The 18,923-nt window shown below is 35.1% G+C and overlaps 1 annotated feature.

Annotated features, from left to right (window-relative positions):
• Window positions 6,469-6,970: an enhancer, noted in NCBI's record as "NANOG hESC enhancer chr2:146445101-146445602 (GRCh37/hg19 assembly coordinates)". NCBI's record gives its function as "activates a minimal SCP1, AML or CMV promoter by ChIP-STARR-seq in naive H9 embryonic stem cells {active_cell/tissue: H9 hESC(naive)}" and the evidence as "EXISTENCE:reporter gene assay evidence [ECO:0000049][PMID:30033119]".

Genomic DNA, 18,923 nt, shown 5'->3' with positions numbered 1-18,923 from the left:
GTGGCTTCTTTACTTTTGTTATGCTTTTCTAATAAATTTTACCATTCATTTTGTTACAACTCTGCCCCTAGGTCATTAGACCACAGTGTGTGCTATCATTGTTAAAATATAGAGTTGCCGTCTTTCATTCAGAGAGTACCTACGTAATCTGCCAGTTCTATCAGCTAAACAATATTTTATATAAGAAGCAGACATTTGCTGAATTGATTTAAATTTTGGTACTCGTATTCTAAATTGTCTAGTCATTTTTTATTTTAAAACTTTTTATTAAATATATGCTATACATCATCGTAAATTTTCTGTAGTGATAGAAAAATGGAAAAGACAGATCACAGCATCATGTAACTAACATCTCAAAAAAAGTATTGAAGATATAACTAAGAAAACTGAGCAGGAGAATTTTCATGGGAGCATAGTTGTTTAAATATTTTCTGGATGGTAATTAACTTATCATCTGGTTGCTTCAGATATTTTTTATACCTTTGACTTAGTAAAAGCAGTGATCAATTTATTAGAGGAAAAAAATCTGTTGAATTTAGTAGTATTTTCCAAGTATATATATAAGAAGTAAAAATAAAATCTTGGAGATCATTGCATGCATTATCAGTTTTCTGACTTATTACAAATCCAAGTTAGTCTTGTTTGGTTCTACTTAAATCAGATATTGTTTCTAAAACTAATAAATATCAGAACTAGTGGCCAGATCTAGAAACTTCCTCCCTTAAACCTATTCAAGTTAGTCAAACATAGTCAAGCATAGTCTTCCCAAATCACCTTGAGAAAATCTGTTCACCAAAAATCAGATGTCTGGTCATATCAGATGTCAATTATTTTACTTACTTTCCAGGAGGAAATACATCATCAACGACAACGAAAGGATCTGTGATTGTAAAAGTTATTCCTTTTACAAATATTTAGATTTCTAGTTTTAATCTATTTAAATTTCATATTTTAAAAATTGATTTGTTTTACCATATTTCAAAAAAAAATTCAAAGTTGCTGCATGTGAATTTTAAAACCTGTGACTTCTCAGATGAGTTCATGTTTACCAGCAGGGCTCACCCATAAAGGCCGGCTGAATATCCAGTGTACTTTCCCTTCACTGTGGTCAGTGAATCAGCAAGTGTTACAGGAGTTCAGCGTGAAATGCCAGGTGCTATTTCAACAGTCCTTCTTTCACAATGCTTAGGGTGGGGTCACTCTGGTAGACCCTGATAAGGTTACTGGAACTGAGTTCCTGGGGTGGTCAAGTTAACATCCTCTAAGCTCATGCTCTCTGAATGTAGAAGGTAGTCACAGAGACCTGGTTCCCTTTTTTGGGCTAAAGGCTACTCAACCGCAAGCTGCTTATTAAACTCTGTCTGGAAAATATTATTCACTGAAATCATGTCTCAATAGCACAGAGTTTAATTTTGTAATTAACCAAACCATCTGTCATTGCAAGGCTCTCTTAAGGGCATCCAAATGGGAGAACTTATAGAACCTTGCATGGTGAGTGGTAGTGAATGGCTGTGAGAAGGAAATGGTATGAATTTCAAATGATAGCTACAAATAGATTGTCAACTTATGAACTCAGAACAAACTACTTTCCTAAAGAGATGCTCCTGCATCTTTCCATAAACAGATTATTGCCCTTTTCATAAAATATTTAGCTCTTTGCTTTATAAAGTAAAGTTCATATGAACATAAATGTTGCTGCAAAAGACCGTCCATCTGTGTTTTTGCTGTGTGTGAATAATAGCAACATTTCCTTGAAAACTTAAGAATACTTACTAAATAATCAACGAGTATTAATCAGTTATATAATTTATTCTTCCTTCTAGATTTCGAGGCTTTCTGTCTTGCTGCATTAAACATCCATAGATATTTACATTACATGCAAATCAAAGATATCAAGAAATAAGATCTCTAGAGGTGATAAAACATTATTTGTTGGGCATGCCTTGAATCAGGTTTGAATTAGGTTTACTTATTTAATGATACATATTTGGGTCTGGCATCATCCAAACAGCTCTGAACTAATAGCCCAGACAGGATCTTAATGACAATTTTTTACTTTGGTGGTTTTGTTTTTGCATGTACATTTAAAAAGTATCAGAAAATTTGTACAAATTTAAAAATTAAATATTTTGAAACCTTAAAATCAAATATAGATACAGCTATATCTTTATACTTGTAATATATTTACTAAATAAGGTGAAGTCACAAGGATGGGAAATTATTCTGAGTAATTCAATTTACACAATTCTTTTCACCTTTTAGTAGTTTATATGATTAAATTTTGATACTATGTAGTCCACAGGAGGAATGAATAAATGCCAGAAAAGTAATGGTGATAGATACAAATTGATTGTTAGACTTCCTCAATACCTTGGCCCATTGATATTTAAAGTTTTAATTAATAGCTGAATAGGTGCTTTAATGGTCAAGTAGGATATTTGGTTCTCAATAACCTATAACATCTCAAAGTTAATATTGAAATGCCACTTACACACGTCCTTTCCTCTAGTGGTGAGGATGGACAGGAAAAAGCAGTTCTAGACCCTGAAAAAGTTGGTTTGTATGGGTTAGCTATTTTCCGATGAGATCAGTCTAGCGCTGCCACCTGCACTCCAAAACATTGGTCCCAAAGGAGTCATGATGTCATTATGCCAACACCATCACATCTCAGTGTTGTTATATTGAGTCAGCCAAACTTGGCCCCATATTGGTCTGGTTCCTGTTCTTCTAACTTAAACCCACACCGTTTGGAAATGGTGTTCTTTGCGAAAAGATTAATGCCTTCAGTTCTAATTACCTTAATTATCAGCTACTTTCTAATGAGAATATTATCTAGATAATGACTAAAAATTATGAAAATCAACCTCAAATAGAACAGGTTTTACCCTTTAAAAGTAACATAGCTAATATCCTACTTATGACAACTTTTCCAGTATGTAATCTTACATGAGAACTATACTTGTATAGTTAATCAGTTGCCAGAAAATAATTGCCAGTAAAGGCAGAGGGAGAAAAGAAAGACATTAAGTTTTCCAAAATTTCAAGCTATTTTAACCAGTAAAGGAAAAGATAACTCAAGTAGGTAATTCCAGACTGGAAGGATATGTACAACTAATATTTCACAAACCTCACTAAAGATGTTAGAGGAAAGAGCTCACCAGGATGAGTGAAACTCCTGGATGTATAACTCCTAATTATATATCTATATTGATTTTTTATTAGTACATAACTGTTAAATAAAACACTAAGTGCATTTCCCATGTCATGTTTTCAGAATTCCTTTTGGTAAAAAATCTATTTTGTCCCTTTGAAGTACATCTATAATTGTTCACCTTAGATTTGGAACTTAGTTTTAAGTAGCACACAATTATCTTATGAAATTGAGCTAGGCAGTAAAACTCCTTACCTTTGAGGATTGCTTGATTATTTTCTTAAAAGATAAATAAAACAAGAACAAAAAGAAAGGGGATAATTCCATTCAGTACTAAAAATAAAACACTATATATAACCCACATTGGAATTTTTTGAAGTTATGGAGTATCTTAAAGGTACATACTTAACATTTCCATTAAAAATAATTAAATTAAAAGTAGAAACTCAATAGTAATGAAGAATTTTTGCCTATTATTGTTTATCTGAAAAGCACTAGTTTGAAAAGGGAAAATCTTTTCCAATCCCACCCTCCCTCCCCATCTTAGTAGAAATATAAGATGAGCAAGGTAGTAATCCATTATGACCTTAAGTCAATTATCTTTAAGTAAAAGATCTTGTTATAAGGACAAAAAATGTTAGTTCTACAACTTTTAAATTCTTCGTACTTTGTTACAACTAACATTTCCAAATTGTCCAGATTAAGCAATGTTTCCCCCTTATCAGTTAAACTACACCTTAAAATCTTATAAATGAAGTTGCAAGTCTGAGGAAGGATACGGAAACTCTATCCATTTGCACTGGAGTAAATAAACATTGGAAGAAAGCAAAGATAAGAAATTTCACAGGGAAGCTAAAATTATTGTTTTAAAATATCTCTTTTCATTGTTATTACCATTTATCAGCAGGCCTTACGTTGGTAAAATCAGTACAGATTGGGCTGGCTATATGCGGCTGAGTCATCCAGTTTGGAAATTTACCGGTTATACATCACTACAGTTCAACCTCTTTGCCACCTCCACACATATTTTTAAGTAGTTACAGTCAGAACAACAATGAGAAAAGAAACCTTACAATTCTAGGTTTGTTCAAGATTCAAACATCACTAATAACCTGGTTGCAAAAAAGCATATTACCTTTCCTAAATGATTTTCAACACATTTGACTTGTATAATTATAATATTCTATCAAAAATGGATATAATGTAAGTCAAATCCTGTTTACCAAAAAACAGCATTTCCAGATAAGTCAGACTAATTGTGAGTGCTGCCTTTCAAAACCTACCCATGAGTTTATTATTGAGTACACTGAGAAGAAAGAAATATTTTCACATTTAACTTGGTTTTGGTGCAAGTTATCATTTAACAAAAGTGGTTGATTGTTTTACAATTTTAACATCCTATTTGGGTCGTTAGTTGACTTCAGCTAGAAACTATTAAAAATGTTCTAGTGCTCAATTATTATTGTTTTAAAATTATTTTAAAATTTAATAAAACACAAAACATGAGTTTTTGTAATTAATTTCAGAAAATCACACATAATGGAAATTACCTTAAGTAATATGTATTCAAAGAGAAATAATAAATATTCAAGCATTCTATATTTTGAGATAATGTTTTGGAATTTAAAAAAAATTGTCAGAATTAAAATAACTGTGAGAATTAAAATGGTTAATTTCTGTCTGTTGTAGTTAATTCCTTTGCTATAATATTCAATTGCTTTGAATGTGTTTTTATAAAATATGCTTTCAGAGCTTTCAAAAGATTAAAGACTTGGAATGAACCCAAAAGCCCATCAATTATACACTGCATAAAGAAAATGTGTCACATATACACCATGGAATACTATGCAACCACAAAAAAGGATGAGTTCATGTCCTTTGCAGGGACATGGATGAAGCTGGAAACCATCATTCTAACACAGGAACAGAAAGCCAAATACCACATGTTCTCACTCAGAAGTGGGAGCCGAACAATGAGAACATATGGGCACGGTGGGGGGAACATCACATATCAGGACCTATTAGGGGATGGGGGGCTAGGGGAGGGATAGCATTAGGAGAAATACCAATGTATATGACAGGTTGATGGGTGCAGCAAACCACCATGGCACATGTATACCTATGTAACAAACCTGCACATTCTGCACTTGTATCCCAAAACTTAAAGTATAATTTTAAAAAATAATAAAATAAATAAAAGGTTACCTTTCCATCTTCATTAATTTTTGTTTCTGAAACGTTCCTGATTCGAAGACAGACTTAAGAGAGTTTAAACACATCCTAATTCATATGGACCAGTTGAGAGAGTCTCTCCTGAAATGAATCATTCTGATAACTTTTTAAAACCTACTTCTATAAGGTATATTATTGAATATTACTGAATTTACTGTTTCCATCAGGATGTTTGGCTGTCATATAGAACAAACTATCACAGTCTACATACTAGTCAGAACAGTTAATGTAATATCATAAAATCTGTGTAGTGGGCCTAATTCTGTCTAGTTAACACTTCTTTTTTTATTTGTTATTTTTTATATCCGAAAACAATATCTATGAAATGTCAAACTGTCTATCTTACTTTACAGACCTGGGTCAATTTTCAATGGCAATGTTTCATTATAGACTCCAGCTCAAAAACAATATTTTATATTTCCTTATAGAAATTATGATAGTGACGTCTTATATTTCAGGCAACAAGTATCTTCTCTATCAAGCATCTGTCAGTATGAGAAGAACTAAAATTAGTCTCAGTTTGCTCGTCTGTACCATGAGTGATAATTATTTCCTTTTGAATCTGTGAGTAGGAAAAAAACAATTATTAACCTAGCTTATGTATATAGTTTCCATATAGCAGGCATAAATAAATATACATACATATACATACATATATATACATATATAAAACACAAGCAAATTTGTATGTTAATTCTATTATTTCTCATTTCTCTTACAGGAGTGACTCATAAGCAAAGTAGTTGAGAAGTAAAGTCTGAATCTGACTGCGTAAATCAGGGTGGGTTTACACTTAGGTGGTAAATTCTAATTCTAACAACTCTACCTAGTTTGCAAATATGGCTAAAACACTTGTTTTTTCCTACTGCCTGTTCTTTCCACCCCGTCCCCACCGTCCCCACCAAGTATCACCTTCCCCAAATTAATACCTCCTACCCCAACCCCAAACATTCTGGCTCCTCTTGGTAGTTTATAAACCCTGTGTCAAACACCTGTGTGTGTAATTTGTTCCAAGGGAAAACATGATCTCTCATCAGAAGCAAATAAAGCATATGGCATTTGATTATCTAAGCACACCCTCAAATATTTTAAGCAACTTCTTGATTTTCATAATTCCGACTTCTGAAGTGCTTCCTTTTTTTACCTCAATTTCAAAATTACTAGGTATCATATGATTATTGTAAAGCTGTGCATTTTGCAAATCAACCTCAATTATTATTAGCCTTTGCTTTTTCAGCAGGAGAAATAAATTCCCCACAGTGGCCATTCATTTGCCTCTCAGCATGGTCTCGTTCCTAAAGAAACTTGAATCTGAATTTACTTCCTCTTTACTGGTTGGAAAACAAATGTTTGATTTGTGGTGAGCATGTAAGTGAGTTTTAAGCACACACACAGGTAACAACGTGTCCCCAGCACCACCTCAACCATTTAGGAAGTTTCAAATTCCCCGGCATAGAAGTTGTTTCACAGACCCAGCAAAGTGCTGGGGAAATAGTAGGTAAGCCATTTGGAGGACTTCAGAAATGCAAGTACTCCAAGTAACTTGCTGCACTCTGCCCTCATTCCTTCCTTCAAGCTAGAAAGACTTGGGGGAATGTTGCCAACCTATTAGCATTTCCAGAACTGAAATAATCTCTTCCCAAGATAGTACTACTGGAATGATAACAAGACATGTGGAGCCCAACTTGCCTGGCTCTCTTCAGGTTTGTAGAGAATAGAGTAGTTTCATAGATCTGCTTTCACCTATGATAAAAATCGGAAAGGTTAAAAACCTATAGTTCTAGTTCATGCCTTTTTTTTTTTTTTTTTTCTCTCTTTGACTTTCTTTTGCCAAGGAGTCTTTGTGCAGAGGCTGGTGAAAGTCGATCACATCTTACACCCTTCATGTCAAGTATTTCTTAAGGTATCTTATTTTTCATATTTCCAGGGATGTTAATCTCATTGCAGGACTAAAGTGGTTATGACTCTTAACAGTAAGGAAGGAAAGAAAAAAACAAAGAAAGTAGGAGAACATTACATTTAATTGCAAGTGTAGTAGAAAATTTTATGTAAGCAATAAAATAAAAAAAAAATACTTCCCTGCTCTGGAGAAAGGAAGATTAAATATTTAAATAAGATAGCTTATAAGAGATGTTTAAGTCAAGTAGTCTACCTTTTGTTTTTCTTTTAATCAACAACTTCCATTTCTCTCTACTCCCCCTATAAAGGCATTATGACTTTTAGTGAGTCCTGCCTTAATAAGCCATTCTAAAGATGAGTATGAGGTCAATTTATGTTTAAAAGCCTGCAGAGGGGCCCAATTATAGAGTAGACTGTTGGTATAAACTGTAATAGTTTATGTCAGGAAGTTCTTTTATTTTTTAGATAAAATTCAGTGTAACCATATGTCATATTTACAGTACAGAATACAATGTAAATAGTGCCCGCTGGAGTTGTGCAATATAGTAGCCCCCAAACTCTCATTATTTGAGCTGCTCACTTCTAAAAACATTAGTTCAACTCATCACACAGGCATAATTTTGGGGAATGAATACATTCAATTTCCAAACTCCTCAGTAAGAGAAAATTAAAGAACGGCGAACAAGTAAGGATAAATTTGAATACAGTTGTTAATAATATTATTCCCAGAATATAGGTTCTTAGAATTATCACCTAGTCTCCTTTTGTGTATTTTGTTTCACTCATCTAGAGTCATTCAACATGAATATGTGCTGCAAGTCTGTTGATTCCACCCAGTCTATTAAAATCACCTCTAAGTCAAGTGCAACGTAGACTGCTGCCCAAATCTTTAACTCAGAATTTTCTGTGTGACGTTTAATGCTGATTCTGTCTCTTTGCCTACTGTATTTTTAACTAAGGGCACTCTTTGAATATATTATTGTTGTTATTTACAACTATCTGGCAGCAGTTACACTAATTCAAGTTGATAATCAGCTATTTAAATTCCTTATGAACTCATGGTGGAATATGATGTAGCAGATCGCCTGAAGAACTTTATGTTTTGTGATATTATCACGACATAATGTAAAATGCCATGGAACAGGTCATATTGCCCAAGTGTCATTACACCTTGTGTCAAAAACCTGAAGCCTCTTTTGTCAGTTGGCTGACTGGCTTATTTCTCCAGAGATCCTCAGCTACATGATGTTGGAATTCACAATTCAGAGGGCAGTTGACACACCCATTTCTGTACTTAGACATTATTCCTACCTTCTAGTCTGTCAACCTCATCCTCATCAGTTTACCGAGAGTCTACAGAGGGTGTGGCCTTGTTTTACTCAAGCAATCAATAAGTGAAGGCAGTAAAGGAATGTAAAGTGAACAAGCATGCGGAAAAGAAATAGAAGACAGAAAATAACGCCTTGCAAATAGACTCTGAAAGGTCATTCAAAGTTGAAGAATTCAACTATTTCTTAAGTTGTATTTTGATAGGTTCATTGATACAACTAAATTGACTCAAGTTTCAACCAAAACTGTTTTTACAACCTACCTTCCTACTAGGTAATACTCATTACCAAAATTTTATCTTGGTTAATCTGGTCTATGGAGTAACTGTAAATGACTCATTAATAGTTACTCATGAAGTTTCCTTCTGGGAATTACTTTTAATAAGGCAATAGATAAATGTGGTGAAATACTTTCTGAGCTGAAGCTATTATCTTTGTACTGAATAGAAGTCTAGACATGAACACGTAGATGTGTGTCTGCTCAAATGCTGAAATCCAGGACCTATTCTATACCAGAGTATTTGGAATGTATTTTACTAATTGTCCCATTGACTATTAAAGGAAATTTGCAACCAGAGAGAAAGATAAATACAACAAACCTGACTCGAGATGGTTAAGAACTTGAAAGAAACCATTAATAGCAATGAAAATATTAGAAATCTCAAGAAAAATGGTTTTCCTTAGAAGATCATACTACCAGCCTATAGGTCATATCTGCAGAACATATTCTTTTGTTCTTACTGGTAGAACTACTGATCTGAATTAATACATGACATAAATACAAAATAATACTTTTCTGTGCCAAGTTTTTGGTCATAATTTATGTAATGAATTAGAATTTAACAAAATAATATGAAGATTAGAAGATAGGACACGCTTCATCTTGAATTTTGGGTGATCATGGCCAAATGGATAGTTGTTCCTTCGTATATAGGTGGAGGATTGTTTCCAGAAGCCCCTCATATTCCCAAACCCATGCATACTCAAGTCTTGCAATAAGTCCTGCCCAGCCTGTGTATATGAAGAGTCACCTCTCCATATATATGGATTTCACATCCAGGAATATTGTATTTTTGATTTGCAATAGGTTGAGAAACATCCACATATAAGTGGACCAGCCTAGTTCAAACCCATGTTGTTCAAGGGTCAACTGTCGTTATTTTCTTAAAATGTCTGCTTAATTGTATAGTGTGTTTCCTTTGTCTAATAATAGGCAAGGTAAGTTTCATTAAAAAGTATTTTTGAAACATGTATTGAGTTTTTCTATATTCAAAGCATATCCATGTATGTTGTTTGTATTGCACTGCATAATAAGACATAGAAGTAATGATTGTTTGTATTGCACTGCATAATAAGACATAGAAGTAAAAAATAATTGTTCATGAACCTTTATCCTTGAAGAGACTAAACATCCAAAGTCAAACACAGTTAGAAACTTATACAACTAAAGTTTAAACTCACTTGGCATGTATCATCAGGCCAGTACTCTTCCCATTACATGAAAAGGAAACTAATGAAAATCACAGAAGTCATTTAAAACACAGTTCTTCTTGGCTCCCGCAAGATCTAAGGCTTAAGAATTATTATTAATTATTATTAAAGTTATCTTATTATTTGCTATGGACTAAATATCTGTGTTATTACTGCCCTGTGAATTCACATTCTGGAGCCCTAACCCACAACGTGATAGTATCTAGAGATGGGTCCTTTGGAAAGTAAGAAGAGGTCATGAATATGAGGCACTCGTAATAGTATTAGTGCCCTTATAAGAAGAGATAAGAGGTCTCTCTCTCTCTCATTCTCATTCTTTCTCCACTCCATGCCCATATAAAGAAGGGGTCATGTGAGCACACAGCAAGGATGCAGCTTCCAAAAAGCCAAGAGAAAAGGCCTCAGAATGAAACCTGCCTTGCCAGCACTTTGATCTTGGACTTTCCAGCCTCCAGAACTTTGAGAAATAAATTTCTGTTGTTTAAACCATTCATTCTATGATATGTTTTTTATGGCAGACTGAGCTGACTAAGACACCATCTTACGTGAACTAAACTGACTATAATCTTATTTGAAGAAGTAATATGGAGGTGAGGAGGTTAGTGAAGAGGAAGATAATTTCTTTCTCCCTCATAGGAGATATTTTCACCAGTGGATTGGGAGGCACTACTACTTGCTAATACTACTACTTGGCAAATATACCAATTACTCTTCTATCAAGTCTCAAGTTTTCTCCCAGACTTAAGTCTATGGCTTATTTTTACAAAATAAAAATAGGGACTTGGGATCCATATGCCCAATAACATATTCAGTAAATGATATTTTCATACTTTTTTTACCGCATTCCAGATTTATAATCAAATATCAAAGTTATGTGTCAAAATAATTTCTAAGGATTTTGGTTGAATATCATCTCTTCTCAGATATTCTCTCTAGCTACTATCAATCTGAGAAGGAACAACTCATCAACATATGACATTGATGAAGAATTCAAACAAAGCCTGAGCTCTCTTCAGACAATGAGAGAAGATTTGCATGTAACAACTGGGGACATATAATTTTAACTTTTACAATGAAGATAGACTACAATATTCAGGATTATTTGTAGGAATTAAGTGATAATCACTCATTGTTTAAGGTAGACTCAGCTCTTTGTGGTCACAGGAGTTGAAAAAGATAACAAGCATTTGAAATGCAGTAAACAAAATCTAGAAAGTCAGTATTACATATTTTTAAAACTAAAATGGAAACAAACCAGAAATGAGCTAGAAACTAAGTTCTTGAATAATAAATAGCATGTTAAATGGAGGAGAGTAGGCACACTTTGATAACAATACTGTTCTCATCAGAACAAACATCAAGAATCTGCAAAGATAATCAACTGAAGTGACAGGAAGAGCTTTGCTGAGAGAGGAGGTGAGACTCACAACTGTAATATTGTGCAACTGTTTTTTGAGTCCCACTTCCACTTCTCTTTGTCACATTATTTAAGGGTTTCAAAGTAAAGGACAGACAATCCTCTGACACTCTCCAATTTGCTAGCAGCTCTTTAGAATAGACAACTTGTAGCACTTTCAATTAAGTATGCTTTAGCTCCTAAATATGCATTGAATTTATATTTAAAGGATCTGTTACTGCATGGTAATTACATGGAGCCATGAGATGGCACATTCCAGGTTCCCTAAACACAATAGTGCACTGTGAGGGGAAATTGGAAAGGCTTAACCAAGTTCCTCCCAATGACACATTCTTACTAATCTTTAAATCAACATAATCTTCTCTAATCATGGAAGTATATAGCTCTCATCATAGCAAATGTGGAACATCAAGCAAAATACAAAAAGAGAAAAAGTTATATTCATTTTTATATATTAATTTTTGTTCTATGCAATTTTGAATAGTGCTTTTATTATTAAAGCCACTCTGCTTTTCAAATGATGTTTTCTACATGTAAACCCCTCCATTTCCCAATGATCAGCTTTTTGTCCTCTTCAAAATAACAATTTCTGCAATAGAAAATGGCACATTTTTCCTTCTCAAAGGGTACTTATTTTCCCCTTCCTATATTATAATACTACAAATTGGTGTCTTATAAGATATATACTCTAGCTTCTATGAAGAGCTTCTTCATAAATGTGCCTCAAGATTATCATGTGCTGCACATGGGATGCAGGTGTGTGGAGCTGTGCATGGCTCCCCCTTAGGGAAAATGTGTGGGACCTGGGTCTTGTGGAGCCCCTGGAGTTAGATGCCTTTGGCCGTAGACACCCTTCTGCTTTACCCCAGTCTGTCACGCAAATCTCATTTGATTTTTAATGCTGTGAAGAGGACTGGGAAACTCTGCTTTTCTATTTGGAAAACTGTAGTCCATGCTCTTGTCCACATAAAGCATATGGCGTTCTGACCACAAGGCACAAGGCCACAAAGGCATTCTGACCAGATTTACCTTAATGGAAGGAAAATATCACAACTTTAAGTGTTTCGATATGGACATTATGCTGGGTTAGTCATAGGATAAAACACAAATTGAAACAACCATGCCTTTAAAACTTCTTAACATAATTTTTTTTATTATTTAACTTCTTTTGACAAACCCAAATGATCTACCAACTGGTCTTCTGAAAGTTTCATTTAGGCGTCATCCCATGTACAGACATCTTGATCTGTGTTATTTCTACCGCAAGTACCTGTAACAAATTTCATTCCATCAGGTCAGTACCCTAGTGGGTGACTAACTAGTAATTTGACAAACCGTTTGTGTTTAAGTGGATTGATGTGTTAGTTTATTTAGATAACATTTGTATTTTGATAGGGACTATCAGTTCTCCTGGATGGCAGGAAGTTCACTTGATGCTTGCTTGACTAACCTCTGGACAAAATGCCTGATTCATAGATTCATAGCCAGTGCTTAATTATTCTTTGTTTTGTTTTGTTTGTCTTGTTTTGAGACAGAGTTTCACTCTTGTTGTCCAGGCTGGAGTGCAATGGTGTGATCTTGGCTCACTGCAACCTCCACCCTGTGGGTTCAAGTGATTCTCATGCCTCAGCCTCCCAAATAGCTGAGATTACAGGCACGCGCCACCACGTCCAGCTAATTTTTGTTGATTCTCTTGCCTCAGCCTCCTGAGTAGCTGGGATTACAGGCATGTACCACCACACCTGGCTACTTTTGTATATATGTATTTTTTAAATGGAGACAGGGTTTCTCCATGTTGGTCAGGCTGGTCTCGAACTCCCGACCTCACGTGATCTGCCCACCTCAGCCTTCCAAAGTGCTGGGATTACAGGCGTGAGCCACCGCGCCAGCCTGTTTCCTTTTTAATGAATTAAAGAGTGGGTGTACTCCAGTAGAGATAGATAATTGCAACAGAAGTCACTATAAGTTCCTTTGAATCATAACTACTGGTTGTATATCTGTCCCATCTATAGGGTTATCAGTGCTGGTTTACAATAAGGCTAATGGAATGTTCTTCTTTTCATGGCAGAAGAAAAGAGAACTTACACGTGTTTGAGAGGTAAAGATGAGTAGTTGTTAAACTGTCATGTCTAGACTGGACTGTGTGAGGAAAATATTTCTTTGACATTTCTTCCTAAATGATTCAGATTCACAAGAATAAAAAGTGTGTTAATCTTTTTATTAAGAGCAATTTTGAAGGATTTATACTATGTATAGAACCACTAAAAGTAAGACATGCTGACTGATAATGAAATAAGGAATCTTTCCACTTTTTGTTTCTTTGCTATTGTGACACATTTTATTTTGAAATTAAACTTCTCACATTTGGATGGGAACAGAGTATGTTCTTTAAATCCTAGTAAGGAAAACATGCAGAATGGTTTTGGATTAGAGGACATAAGGTAATTCTCTCAGTGGCAAGCCAGTTTTCACGAGGGGGCGGTGTGCTCCCCTCCACCCATCTGCAAGCCTGTGAACAGACCTTCCACCAGGTGTCCACCCCAAGCACACACAGATACAGAACAAGAAGAAGGTGTCCCAGTGGAGAAGAGGGATGGCCCTGCAATAAATTAGCCAGACATGATGTTCTAGCTGGAGATTGCACCAAATTAATTGGAGAGGGAAAACAAATAACACCATGATTCATTATACACAAGGTGTCTCTGAACTATAGGTGTTTTTTTCAAATGAAAATGGATTCTTTAAGAAAGTAACTTTTTAATGCCACACATCACATCATTGTGTTTAGTAATAAGAGGCACATCAAGAGGTATAAAGCATAATTTCTGCCTTCAACGAGTCTGTAATCTACTTGGAGGTAAATATGGTGTAACATGAAAGGGAGGAAACAATTCATTTTGGTGAGCACTTGAGGTAAGTTTTAATATCTGGTGCCACAACACTGTGTATAAACATTTTCCTTTAGGTGATAGGAGCCACTAAATTCTGTTGTGAAGAAAAGTGAAGCACTAGATGAACAACAGTAGAATGAACAATTGAGTATGGTGTTTAGGACACAAGTCCTGGATTTAGACTTTGTGTACAAGTCCCAACTCTACCATTTATGGAAGGAATAAACATTATGGAAAGAGGAAAATTAAGGGAGGAGAATCAATGCAGGGGCCGGCAGTGGTAAGACATAAACTTAGAGAAGTAGGCAATGTTTGGGTCAGGGCTTTCAATTTGAATGCCATCTAAAGATTTTTTTCCAGTAGACGATGGGAGAGATTGTTCACTAAAGGTAGAGATTGTCTTACGGAAAATGGAATTCCTGCTTTAGATGACCTCGCATATCAGAAATATACAAAACAAGTGTTGTACATTACAGATGAGGTTATCCGGAATTCAGGATCTGGCACTCAGCAGTGGTCAATAAAATTAATAAAATTCATAACCCTGAAGGTTCACTTTGTTGTTCATCCCAATCTGTCCTCAGGAAAATACTCTCCACATCTCTTGTCCAAAGTCCTTACAAAAAAAAGAAAAAAAAAAAAAAAAAAGACAAGACACTTGCATCCACATTCCATGAAGATGTAAGAGTTGTACTCCTGCTGATACCAGAGGGAGACAATGCTTCAGAGAGCATGGGACATTTAAGCAGTGGAAGCACTTGGTAAGAGAAAAGACTTTTTTTTGGTCAAATTCTTCCCTTCAGAAAGCATGCATGCAATGTATTTTTATGAAATAGTACCATTTCCCAAGAATGTCAAGCTTCCATTTTATTTCCTCTCTTCCTGTTCTAATTTGAAGTTCCGGAGACACTCATGAATTAGCACAGTTTTTACAATAGTTGCTCTTATTGGCTACGGAATATTTTTCAATGTGAAAAATTTAATGGTTAACTTTTTTTCACTGTAGGTCTAGATGTAACATGGCGATGCAAGGTACCAATTTTTTTTTTTTTTCTTTTTGAGACAAAGTCTCTGTTGTCCTAGGTGGAGTGCAGTGGCATGATCATGGCTCACTGCAGCTTTGACCTTCCTGTGCTCAGCTGATCCTCTGGCCTTAGCCTCCTGAGTAGCTGGGCCTATAGGTGTGCACCACCACACCAGGCTCATTTTTGTACTTTTTGTAGAGATGGGTTTTACCATGTTTCCTAGGGTGGTCTCAAACTCCTGGGCTCAAGCAATCTTCCTGCCTTGGCCTCCCAAAGTTCTGGGATTACAGGCATGAACCAACACACCCAGCCAAGGGATCAATTCTTTACATCTGGGTTAGAACACATAAGAACTGCAATAGTTTTATTTTTAATAACAGAATTTATTAAAATTTTATAAATCTTTCAAAATATAATTTAAATTTTTATTTAATTTAAGTATTTGAATTTATAATTGATTTTTGACTCTTAATTTGTTTTTGAAGTGTAGTCTCATTCTGTTGCCCAGGCTGGAGTGCAGTGGCGTGATCTCCGCTCACTGCAGCCTCCTTGTTCTGGATTTGAGCAATTCTCGTGCCTCAGCCTCTGGAGTAGCTGGGATTCCAGGCATGTACCAACACACCAGGCTAATTCTTTAATTTTTAGTAGAGAGGGGGTTTCTCCATGTTTGCCAGGCTGGTCTCCAACTCCTTACTTACAGGTAAGTACCCTCCTTGGCCTCCCAAAGTGCTGGGATTATAGGCATGAGCCACCATACCAGACCTGACTCTTAAATTTAATATATATGTTTGCCTGCCTAATATAAAAATGTATTTGAAAACATAGAATATCATAATTTTTCTATTTTGCATCTTCTTTTTAAGAATTTTATGAAATAATATACGTTTAATACATTGTGATTATGATTGCATTTTATTTTAATCCTTTACGTCAGCCTTGCCATTAGAATTAAAATTATGTACAAATACAACTATAGTAACTTAGTAATTTTGCTAAAATTAGAAAACAAAAAGTAAATTATATTGAATAAAGAAATAATACTTTAGTAATTAATATATATCTTTTTTGTTAACTGTCCAAATTTCACCAGCCCATCAGAAGAATAGCCATACTTTTAAAATAATACTTAAATTCTGTCTGATATTTCAATTATTTTCGGTCATTTAAAAACAGCTTTATGTTTTTAATTTCATCTTTATGAAGGCATATTTGGCAAATATGGGGGGAAATTTTATTTGACAGCTTTTAGCTTGATTTGTAATTTTTAAGTACTTAGACAAACTGTGAGCCTACGTATGTATTTTTGCCTTAGATTCAGTGAATCTTCAGGTAGACTGAGAAGACGAGAAGCCATTAAGAACTATTCCAATTAAATGCATTTTAGGAAATAATAATTCAAAAATTACCTAATTTTAAAAAAGTAAATGCATTGTCTCTTTTAATAATATTGTAATGAAAATGAAAATGAAAATGCAATGTCATCAAGAAGCAATTTCTTCTCTCAGTTCTTCCTTGTCTATGCTGGCTTTGTTCTCAGGCTTATGGTGGCCAATGGCTGCCGCTTTCAGTCATACATTTTCCAGACTTAAATTCAGCAAGAAGAGGGAGCCTCTTTTCTGGTTTTCCTGCAAGAATCCAGCTATTCCTCTTAATGGACTTGCTTAGGTTATTTTTTCACCCCAGGAGAAAGGCACTAGACAGGAAACCTGCAATAAGGGTAGAACGTGGTAAATCCTCAAAAACAAATAAACAAAATCCCAAAGCCAAAACAAAAACAAACAAACAAACAAACAAACACAAGAAAACAAAGGCCTGCTGTAGGAGGAAGGGGAGAAAGGGCTGCAAGAGAGTCAAACAACTATTGCCCACTAATCAGCATTAGTTACAGATCACTGAGTGACCAGGAGAGAATGAACTAAGCTGGCTAGCGGAAGGTGAGGAAAGGAATTCAAGAGATATTCAGTACTTTCAATGTACTCGAATTGATGCAGAATAATTCTTTTTTTTTTCTTTTTTTTTTGAGACGGAGTTTTGCTCTTGTTCCCCAGGTTGGAGTGCAATAGTGTGATCTCGGCTCACTGCAACCTCTGCCTCCCGGGTTCAAGTGATTCTCCTGCCTCTGCCTCCCAAGTTGCTGGGATTACTGGTGCCCACCACCATGCCTGGCTAATTTTTTGGATTTTTAGTAGAGAGGGGGTTTCGCCATGTTGGCCAGGCTGGTCTCGAACTGCTAACCTCAGGTGATCCACCTGCCTTGGCCTCCCAAAGTGCTGGGATTACAGGCGTAAACCACCGCGCCCGGCCATATGCAGAATAATTCTAAAGTTGTGGGGGAGAACCCGCAAGATCTTCAGATTTCTGTTTTCAGTAACAATGCAGTTTGAAATAGGAAATACAAGAAGAGTAGCAAGTCTAAAGGAAAAGGTGATGAGATCAGTTTTAAAGATCTGGAGTATGAGGTGTTCCTAAGATTTCCAAGGGGAGATGGAAGATGGGCTTATTTTGGAGTTTAGTGGAAAGGTCTCCACTAGAGATATACAATGCAAATATGAGAACGGTGTTGGTTTCATAATTATTCTGATACCAAGGGGCCTTTCTAGGAGTAAGCATGATTGTTGTAGCCCAAGAAGGGGAAGAGCCAATGGTGTCAACAAATAAATTTGAACTTATTTATATATCAGTTGGGTAAGTTTTAGTTAGATAGCCTAATGAGGTAGATTACTTTAAGATGTAACCAAAGTTTTTAAGTCTATCAAAAAAAGCACAGTACCCTTACATGTGCTGACCCTACCCATAAGAACTTGCCCGAAAGTGAGGAAGCCTCCCACTCCCACAGTGCTGCAGTATCTTCCTCAAACTGCAGAACTGGCAATGTTGAGCAGGCAGAACTTCTACCTGCCCTCAGACTGCAGCAGATTTAACTTACCTAAGTCCCATATGCGTATGGTTTCTGAATATCAAAAAATTAAAACTGTCTTTTGTAACTGAGTGCTTCCACAATAAAATATTATAAATATATTTTTTAGAAATTTTATCTTAAAAAGAGACTAAAATACAACTTGCCACAATTCAGAAAATAACAGTTTTCTACATTGGGGAAAAAAGATATCTAACTTGTGGCCTATAATTCTTCTAAATTAACAAAAATCAGTCAGTGGTAAATTATCTTTATGTAAAAAGTAAATGACTTTGAGAAGAAAAGAATATCCAGTTTGACAATTTATGGCTTAGATTTTGTTGTAGATTGAGAGCAGGTTTTATATGGTTATCTACTTAGTTTTTATAGAAAAGTGACCTAAACAACTATAGAATGCTCATTATATAGTTAATAAATCTCAATAAATCATAGTTAATAAATGATTGAAGAATCAATTTGTTTTTAATTGAAAACAATAAATACACACTAAATGCATTAAATCTTTACTTGCAACATTAGTATGCAGCTGAAAATCTTTATTCTTTTTTTTTAGGTAAAGAATCCATGCAGAA

The sequence above is a fragment of the Homo sapiens genome, chromosome 2 (genome assembly GCF_000001405.40).
Source record: "Homo sapiens chromosome 2, GRCh38.p14 Primary Assembly".
NCBI lineage: Eukaryota > Metazoa > Chordata > Mammalia > Primates > Hominidae > Homo > Homo sapiens.
The sequence above is the reverse complement of the archived record's forward strand: the minus strand, read 5'-3'. Positions and strand labels throughout refer to the sequence as shown.